Raw genomic sequence first — 9,977 nt, 5'->3', positions numbered from 1 at the left:
CTATCTGGTTCCTCTGGTTGCAGTACAAATTTCCAACTGGAAGGGGAATGGGAACTATGGAACCTGGGAGCAAGAGGTTTCAGGTTGCCTTACTCCCTTAATTTAGACACTGATAGTGTGAAAAGCCTACACTCCCCACTGCACCCCCACCCCTGCCCCAACCTGTGAGCAACCATTGACAGTTGTCAATGGGAGAATGGGATTGGTTGGTTTCCTTCCAGGCTTCTCTTCTTAAGAGAGACTTCAGCATTTTGTTTTCTGAGTTCTCTACCTCGTATTTGAGTTCTCCATGGTTCTGAGACCAGAGTGCCCTTCAGTCAGTGGTCTCTGGAGTGAGATCTGCTCATCTTCTGTGGAACAGATCTTGGGAAACTGAACTTGACAGCTTGAATCTTCCTCATCTCATGTCAACCTAGGGTACTTTGCGTGGCACAGGATAAATATGGGGCATCTTTCTGAAGCATCAGTTTCGCTTGATTCTCTTGAAAGAGAAAAAATAATATACTTAGGGGTGACAGTCACATAGATTTCTAAGAGTATACCAGACTTCTCTCTGAAATGAGGCTTGGGTTGTCCTCTTTCTGATAAATTCCCAGATTTAACAGAAAGGCTGCCTTCTGCCATGAAGATACATTGATGTAAAAGTTTAAGAGGTGCTGGTGCACTTCTTACTCTAACAGACGTGTGAGGATGTGTGACTCTAAACTGCACAGTGTACAGTTCCTGCCTATTTCATGTTTACTTTTCTACCTCTGCCTCTGGTTTTGGTCCCTGGCAGCTGCTGATTCATGGCAAAACCCCAGAGCTTGGATCAGAAGACTGAGTTTAAGTTTCATTATTGCCTTTTTTTTTGTAGCCATCATATCAATCCCTGTCTGTCACTAAGTGATTGTGACAACACCTTGTACAGTTGTTGGTGGCATTAAATCAGATGGTATATAAGAGTATTTTGTAAAAACTGTAACGTACGATGTGACTGTAGGGGCTTGCAGTTCTCATGAGTATTACTGCTCTTCTTTTCCAAAGTTGAGAGAATATCAGCAGAGGAACAGCCCTGATGTTTGGCAGGAATAAAGAGGAAGAAAACGAAAAAAAATGGCAGTAGCACTAAGACAACCACTTCTGGTGGTTGCCACTCACCTGGGGATGTGAGTCTTGGCTGACCAGGCTCCTGAGGGCAGGGGGCCCAAAGGGCAGTAGAGGGTAATTGTTAAGATTGTGGAAGAACTGTCGGGTACTGGTTAAGAATTCTGGGTTCGAATCCTACCTCTCCATCTGCTAGGGATATGATTTAGGGCAAATTGCTTGAGTTCTCTTTGGGCCTCCTTTTTCACATCTGTAAAACAGGGGTGGTATTGTTTTACATATATTTGTGAGGTTTAAATGAGATTTGTTATCGCTGTTGTTTTTGTGTTAATCCCTAGTAAGGGGCCTGCTGTAAACACCCAGGACACCCAGGAAATGGTAGTTGCTGTTTGATTTTCCTCATCCCCAGTCTCAAGGGGGAAACCAGGCCAATGAGAACAGTCATTTGCCCATCAGGCTGTCCCTTTAGGAGTTACTGAAAGGGCCCCAGCGTGTGGTGAGGAGAGCCCCAGGCACTAGGATTCGGAGATCTAACTTTTGAGTTCATCTTTGCCATCAGCTTGCTGAGTGACCACAGAAAAATCACTTCTTCCACTGGTCCTCAGTTTCCTCCTCTGTAAGATGATACTGGGTAAGATCAGTGTCTTTCGTTTTTTAGCTGGAGCCCCCTTTGTTCAAGTGAACCCTTACTCAGAAGTCTGGTTTTTAAAATAGAGGTGGAGGTCTTCTGGAGCTCTACCAGATTCATCGCCCACGTCCTGGGCCTGAGGAGAGGGGTCCAGTGAGTGTATTAAGAGCTGCACTGGTCAGGCGACCCCACTCTGTGTGACTGCATCGCTTAGGGGACTTTCCCATCTATTTGTTCCTGCCCCTGGCAAGGCAGCAGGTGGCCATTTGGTGGGAGGAGGTCAAAACCACAGGTCATGGTTTTGACCTCCTCCACTCTTCTTCAGCATTTCGTTTCCCTGAACCTATATCTTCCTCATTCCCTGACTTTCTTGCCTCTCTTTAAGCGACTCTTTCTCCCCCTGCCCTTGTTTTTCCCTTTTCGCCTCCTGTAGATTCAGGACTTTGTGAAGGTGCTGCGTTCCCCACATTGGACAAATGGAAGGTGAGAGAGTGCTGAGACTCCTCCCTGGCTTGCTCTCTCCAGCTGTGCATGCCCTTAGGCTTCTCTGGTTTTGGGGGATACTTTGCCTTTGGCTTATTATATTTTGCTGCCTTAACCTTCAGCCTGTTTTTGTCCGCTTCTTCACTTGCTTGATTGATTGGGTTTTTTTCCTTCCCCCACATCTTTTATCATTTTAGAGAAGGTGTGACATACCTTAAAGTTTAAAAACAATTTGAGAATAACTTTCAGAGCAGGCATGTGGGATTTGGGACTTTTTTTTCTTTTGAGATGGAGTCTTGCTCTGTCACCCAGGCTGGAATGCAGTGGCACAATGTCAGCTTGCTGCAATCTCTGCCTCCCGGGTTCAAGCCATTCTCTTGCCTCAGCCTCCTGAGTAGCTGGAATTACAGGTGCCCATCACCATGCCCAGCTAGTTTTTGTACTTTTAGTAGAGACAGGGTTTCACCATGTTGGCCAGGCTGGTCTCGAACCCCTAACCTCAAATGATCTGCCCTCCTTGGCCTCCCAAAGTGCTGGGATTACAGGCATGAGCCATCATGCCCGGCCTGAGATTTGGGCTTTTGAGTGCCCAGTGTGATACTCTCAGACTAGGAGGGATGGAGAAAAAAACCCAACCAACTTTTAGGTTTTGCCCTAAAGGCAATCATTAGACCACATAGAAGTTTGTGATTTTTTAAAATTAATTCACTTTGGTTTAAGAGTAGAGAACATAGGGTTAAGAGAAAATGAGTTCACATTACAGTTGGAAGGATTGAATCTATTTTTTTGGAGGAACTAACTGTGAAAAATATGAGGTTAACCAAACAGATAAGTGACCGAAACATTCTGCCCCTAATCTCTTTAAAATCAAACGGACACTTAGCCATATTCATTGGGCTCTTGATAGCAAAGACACTTTGCTAAATAAACAATGGAGAGAATAGATGAACAAGCTAGGCTGCACACTGAGTGAGGCAGACTCCTCTGAAGGAGGAAAGAGAGAATTTTGGAAAATTCCAAATGCTCAGCTGAAGGGTAGGTTGGTTCCGAATGGACTCGAGGCCGGAGGAAGTGGCATTTGAGGCTGGCTTGAAGATTTAAGGTGGGTAAACATTCATCCATAAGGGGAGTGGGGGAGGCAGGGGGAGTGGTGAGGTCATGGTCATCATTATGAATTCACAGAGCACCTTTCAGGAGCACAGGGAGTCTGGTGGGGGCAGGGCATGGGGGTACACGGGGCTAGGAGATGACTTCCTCTGGTTGTGATTTGGCATTTCCTTCATATCTAACTTACCTGGGGGGCTCCTGACAAGCCAGAGGAGCAGGGCACAAATGGCACCAGATCCTGTTGAAGATGGGCATGGGGAGGGGGACTAAGACAGAGCACCCTTGGCTGCTGTTAGAGAGTTGTTCAGTCATCACACCTGTTACCCCCGCAGTCGGTCAGGTCTGTCCAGGTGCTGTAACTCACCTTGCCAGCTCAGAGGAGATACTGAGTGGTACTGTGGGGAGCACAGGCCTAAGGGCATCCTGCAGCCGTGTATTTGGCTTTTTCTCTGCCAGTGGTCCAGTGGATTAGGGGGTCTGAAGCCTGTTTTCTAATGCTCTGAGATTGTGTGCCCAGCCCAGGTCTCTGTTCTGGAAACAAAGGCCCAGATCCACATATTTCCTTCTTGCTGTTTAGTTTTAGTGTTTGTTTTTGAGGCAAGAGTCTGGCTCTTTCTCCTGGAGTGCAGTGGCGGCATATCGGCTCACTGCAACCTCTGCCTCCTGGGTACAAGTGATTGTCATGCCTCAGGCCTTCCGAGTAGCTAGGATTACAGGCACCCACCACCGTGCCCGGCTAATTTTTTTGTATTTTTAATAGAGACGGGGTTTTGCTGTGTTGCCCAGGCTGGTCTGGAACTCCTGGCCCCAAGTAATCCACCAGCCTCGGCCTCCCAAAGTGCTGGGATTACATGCATGAGCCACTGCGCCTGGCTCCTTGCTGCTTTTATACCTTCTCCATATCCATAACTGTTTCCCATGTAAGTTTTTTTTAAAAATTTCTCATTTTTATTACCATGTAAATTTTCTTTCTTTCTTTTTTTTTTTTTGAGATGGAGTCTCGCTCTGTCGCCCAGGCTGGAGTGCAGTGGTGTGATCTTGGCTCACTGCAACCTCTGCCTCCCAGGTTCAGGCCATTCTCCAGCCTCAGCCTCCCAAGTAGCTGGGACTACAGGCACCTGCCACCACACCCGGCTAATTTTTTGTATTTTTAGTGGTGACGGGGTTTCACTGTGTTAGCCAGGATGGTCTCGATCTCCTGACCTCGTGATCAGCCTGCCTCGGCCTCCCAAAGTGCTGGGATTACAGGCGTGAGCCACCGTGCCTGGCCAACCATGTAAGTTTTCTACTCCAGGAGTGTAGGTCTGTGATTGCAGTATCCTGAGTAGAGCTGATAACATTTCCAGAAGTAGGGAATAATGGAGAGAGAAAAAAATCTTAATGGGATGGGACCATTTGAGGAGAGTAGGCTTTATTTTTTTTAAACTCCATTCTTAGCTACAAGACTTAAAATTATCTTCAGTTCTTCCAGCCTCTACAGCACTTGCTCTAAGGAGGGAAGCAGATTTGGGTTTTCAGAGGCCAGGACCAAAGGGTCCAGTGAGCAGGCAGTCCTTTCCCTGGAGCGAGGTGTAGCCACTTCCTCCAAACCCAGCTTCCCTGTCCAGGCCCTGGCTCCCTGGTGGTTTTCTCTTGTCAAGCTTAGCTGGTCAGCCAGCTTTTTCCACTGTCTGCCCACCTGGCCTGTTGGATATTAGAAGATCTCTAGAGCCAGATGCTTGGGCCAAGAGTAAGGCCAGAGCCTGGAGACAGGCTGGGTGGGGCTCTGGTCAAGCAAGTAGGTCCAGTTCAGGGCAAGGGAGAGGCTCCAAATGACTCCAAGTCCTGAATCCTAGGATGGTCCCCAACTGCTGTTCTCAGGAAAGAGGCCCCACAATTTCTAAGTTGCCAAGAGCCATAGGGCAGATGTCTTATGTCTGTTTTTTTGGGTTGTTTCTTGGTTGGGTAGATGTTTCTGGATGTAAAAGGACAGGGTGGGGGTGGTGACTGTGGTTTATTGTCTTTTTACCTACAGAGAGCGGGGAGAGGCTTCCAGTTGGGCAACTTTTTTTCCCTGAAAAGGCCTGAATCAGAAACACAGTTAATAGGCCAGGTGCAGTGGCTTACACCTATAATCCCAACACTTTGGGAGACCAAGGTGGGAGGATCACTTGAGCCCAGGAGTTTGAGACCAGCCTGGGCAACATGGTGAGAACTTAGAGAGACGGGGTCTCGCTATCTCACAGGTAGCTTGTTCTCTAGGACCAAGTGGCCTTCCTGGGAACTGGACTGGGGGAAGGCTGAGACTGGACTTTTCCTTGAGGTCTGGGGAGATGCAAGATTGTTGGAATGAGCTTGGGAGCTTGGCTCACCCCACCCTGGGTGATTGTTACCAGAAATTGAATGACCCTCTTATATGTTTCTTCCCACACAGAAACATGATGCTGACAATGGCCCTAATCTTACAGGTGAAACCAAGTGAGTGTCTCCTATTGGGGCAGCAGCCTCTAGGCCAAGGGAGTCAGGAAGGCCACTGCCCATGACCTTCTTTCCCATCAAGCCACTTGCACCCGTGACCCATGTCTCCACCCCTAGGACTTTCTCATTGACCAAGAGCCTGCAGTAACTCTACCAACAGCTCAATGGTGTTGCCTCTGAGGTACCTCAGAAATTGAAGCCCAGAGTGGGGTGCAGGGGCAAGGAAAGTATGATAGAAAGAAACTGAGGCAGGGTTTTGCAAGAGAGGACAGATCCTGGGAGCAGCTGATTTGCTGCTGGGCAATGTTGAGGAAGTCGCCTTTTCCCTTAGCCTTCTCCCTTGAAGCTGTTCACGTGAAGGAGTTGGACCACATGACTGGTTGCATCATTTTTTGCTGCAGAAGCACCAGATGAGAGCTGCTCTGAAGGGAGGGATGGTGGGGAGATAAGAACTGTGAGAGAATTTGGTACAAAAGAGTTATGGAATGAAGGGTTCAAGATAGGCAGAAAAGAAAATATTGCCAGTTGCTGGGGAAGAAAGGAGGTCATAGGGCTTAGACACTGAGGGGCAGAACATTTCCATGCGCACTCTCATCTTTTGTAGTCAGCAACAGGTATCCACTGGGAGGGCCCTGCATCATCGTGTTAAGAATAAAAAGTTCCTCTTCAAAGTTTCCCTTTTTAAAAACAGTAAGTGTTAAGAAGAACAACAGTTCCTTTTAAAAACTTCTTTCAAGTTTTCTTTTCTTTTTATGCTACAAACTAATAAATCTTTTAGTTTACTAATGACTCTTTGTTATGCCCTGGGTAGCTGTTAAATATAGTAGAGAAATAAGTGTATTCTATGTTTCTATGTCCTTATATTTTAAACAAAGCCTAAGTTGTTTATTCTAGTTTCTAGTCTGCCTAGATATGCTTGGACATGCCCAGGCATGTCCCAGCTTGTAGCCTATGCCTTTTCCTTATTTGGAAATGTTATTATTATCCCAGTTTCCTGTACGTAACCCCCTCCCTTTCTTTGTTCTCCATTGTGCCGTTACCTATTTAGGAAAGTTTTAAGATTTTAGCCAGTCAGAATCAGTTTAGATTGTGAGTTCCAGCTCCAGCCAATGGAGATAGGACACAGCAGTACGGTCCTGATGCATCAGGGATAAAAACTCCTGCTTTCCTTTGTTTGGTGTGCTTTCAAGGCAATCTGGCTTGCAAACAGGATCCTTCTGCAGAAGTAAAATTGCCTTGCTGAGAAATCTTTTGTTTGTGTTTTCGTGTTCCTTACGACTCTGAATTTTCATTTCTAACAATCTGCTACCCTGAAGAATCTGGACGTAAGAGGGCCTGGGCCCTCTGGGCCAGCCCTCAAACCTCCTCCCACAGTGGGGGTTGGATGACCCTCTGCCCGCTAAGACATCCCAACAGCTCCCAGCCCTAATGATTACCCTTTCTGACTCTCCCCACAGTCCTCCTCCAGCTCCTCCTCTCTGCGTGCATTTCAGAGCTGTTATCAAGAGGTAACTGTACCCTGGACTCCAGCTATCTAACAAACAATCAACTCAATAGAATAACTGAGAAATAGTTAAGAGTCCAGTAGGGTCTCCTGGTTCCACTCTGCCAATCTGGGCTCCAGTTTCCCCTTGGGGCCCTGAAGAAAGGGGCTAGGAGCACCCAGTGCCAAGGGCAAATGGGGAGCTGGGGGGCCCAGGTCTCAGCTGGAGGGACCCCAGATCATGGAGCATGCATCATGGCTCTTCTGTTGCTGCCCTCTTTGCCTACTGTCTCTTCTCCAGACATGCCTGCTCCAGTCACTGCCAGACATGCCTTGGGATTGTTGCCTCTTGGGGAAGTGCTAGTCTGACTGGTTGTCAGGAACTCCATATTTCTGCCCTGACTCAGTCCCTAATTTGCTCTTTGATTCTGGACAAGCCACCTCTCCTCCTTGGGCTTGCGTTTCTCAAGGAGGTGGAGAGTATCAAAAGTCTCTGCTAGCTCTGAGAGTCCAAGATTTAAAGGTCTACTAGAATGTAAACCTCAGGGCCAAGGGATCCTGTCTGAATCTATAGGATTCTTTTCCATCCTATATCCCTGCTATGAAGAATTGTACCTGGCCCGTATGTGCTTAGCCAATGTTGAATGAATGCACTTTCTAAATCACAAGCTGGCAGAATGGTGGGCTTTTCTCAGACTCCATCTATAGACGTCACTGGTAGAAGGTCGTGACTACAAGTTGTCCAGGTTCTTGGAATTTTGAACAAAGAATTGGACAAAACGCCTAGCAAATCAAAGAAAGAATGAAGCAACAAAAGAACCAAAGCAGGAATTTATTGAAAACAAAAGTACACTCCACAGTGTGGGAGTGGGCCTGAGCAGCAGCTCAGGGGCCTGGATACAGAATCTTCCTGGTCCAAATACCCACCAGAATTTTCCCATCGGCCACTTCATGCTCACCTCATGTAACTGAAATGGTAGCCGCAATCAGTCTGATTGGTTGCAGAAAGCAGCCAACCAGAGGCTGAAGTGAAGTTACAAAAGTCACACTCCTGTGCAAACAATCTGATGAGTTGCAAAAAGCAACCAATCAGAGGCTAGGATGAAGTTACAAAGTTATACTTCTTTGCAAATGAAGACTTGACCAGCAATCAGTCTTACTTGTTGCAGACAGCCAATTTCCCATCTGCCTCACAGAAAAGGTCAGAGGTAGTAGCCTCTGGTTCTTTGTTACTTAGACATGGAAAGTTAGGGTTTTCTTTTCATTTTGGTTCTAGGAAGTCAGAGCGAAAGAGCCTTAGGTTCCCTGCCTCCAGACCCTATTTTCCTGCCTCATAGAGGTTTATGTCACTGTCCTTTTGAGAGAATCCAGATTCAGACTTTCAGTTCTGTGGCTGTGGGCCAAAACCAACAAAGACCCAAATCCTCTGTCCTTGGGAGCTTGAGGAGAGTTTACCAGTTCATGATCCTAGTGGGTCTGAGAACTTTGCCTTTAAAATCCACTCCTGGCCCCTGCCTACTGCTTCATGGCCTGGGGAATAGAGTGGAGGGGGCCACCCTTGGTCACCTTCCTTTGACTCTCCCAAGGAAACAGCACAACCAAGAAATTGTGGATCAACTAGAATCACACTAGTAATGTAATTTCTTTGCTCACAGCATGACTGCTGGGTTTGGGGGGCACTCAGATGTAGAGGTGCTAGTCTCGTCTTGCTGACCCCCAGCCTGGGAAGAAGGCTCACCCCCCAGGTTCCACCTCATCCCCACAGGGTCCCTGATAACCTGGTCCCATGGGTGGGCCTGTCCTGGGGCATTGGTGGAATTCTGGGGGCATGTCTTTGCTGTGCCATCTCTGCCTCCCCCTAGTAAGAGCTCTGTCTTCCTCTTCCTATAGGAAAAGCAAGAAAGCCAGCAAAACCAGGGAACCCTAAAGAGGCAGTTAGAGGTGAGTGGAGGGTGTGAAGTTCCCTCCTGTCCTCTGGAGAATGTTGCTTTCCTTCTCTTTCAGCACTTGCTTGGCTTTTCTCCCAAAGGTTCAAATTCAGAGAACCAACAAACTGATGTCTGAGAAAGGAAAATTAAATACTGAACTGTATCATATGCAACGTGCTGCCAGGCACTTTGAAGGTGGGAATCTGGGCACCCTGTCATCCTTCAACCTGGTGCTTTGATAGGCCTTTGGACCCCATCTCAACCTCTCTCATTTCAGGAGAGTCCATGGATCTGGCCAGCGGCCTGCAGTATTCCCAGCAGTGTGTGGGAGAGTTGTAATGGACTCTTTGCTGTCTCCATGCAGCAGAAGAACATGGACAGTGTGAGTCCTACCGCCTGCCCCATCCCTTGGCAGCCCAGCTTCCCAGGTGGAGGAGTGAGGGACCTTTAGGTCCCTTCTGCAGGATGGAGTGTCCTGCCCAGAAAGCAGCATGGGCCATTTCTCATTGTTTTTGTGTGTGGTTGTTAGAGGCAGCCTGCGGCTGAGTTGGCTGCTGTGGATGAGTTGGGGAGTGCTGTGGGGAGCAAGCAGAGCTTGGACGTGGAGCACTGGATGCAGAGCTTAGAGGCCAAGTGCCTACCCTGCCTTCACTTGGCTGTGGCCTTAGCCAAATCCTAGGTGTGGGATATGGTACTTGCACTGTGAAAGTACAGAAGAGTATCTTTAGTATGTTACCATTTGTGGAGAGAGAAGGACCGTGTGTGTGTGTGTGTGTGTGTGTGTGTGTGTGTGTGTTGTGTGTAA

At 47.7% G+C, this 9,977-nt stretch overlaps 1 long non-coding RNA gene across 1 annotated transcript, besides 1 other annotated feature; it reads right to left on the bottom strand.

The window, feature by feature from the left end:
- Positions 1-399: 399 nt before the first annotated feature.
- Positions 400-2,515, bottom strand: LOC102724938 (uncharacterized). The gene is made up of 3 exons (XR_932342.2): positions 2,411-2,515; positions 1,141-1,336; positions 400-481 (listed from the first exon to the last, which is right to left on the bottom strand). It is a non-coding gene; the product is annotated as an uncharacterized LOC102724938 (long non-coding RNA).
- Positions 6,071-7,270: an enhancer, noted in NCBI's record as "MED14-independent group 3 enhancer chr15:62554405-62555604 (GRCh37/hg19 assembly coordinates)". NCBI's record gives its function as "activates an origin of replication core promoter dependent on BRD2, BRD4, P300/CBP and CDK7 cofactors, and independent of MED14, by STARR-seq in HCT116 cells {active_cell/tissue: HCT116}" and the evidence as "EXISTENCE:reporter gene assay evidence [ECO:0000049][PMID:35650434]".

The sequence above is a fragment of the Homo sapiens genome, chromosome 15, assembly GCF_000001405.40.
Source record: "Homo sapiens chromosome 15, GRCh38.p14 Primary Assembly".
Taxonomy (NCBI): domain Eukaryota; kingdom Metazoa; phylum Chordata; class Mammalia; order Primates; family Hominidae; genus Homo; species Homo sapiens.
Note: the sequence above shows the minus strand (reverse complement) of the source record. Positions and strands in the feature narration are given on the sequence as shown.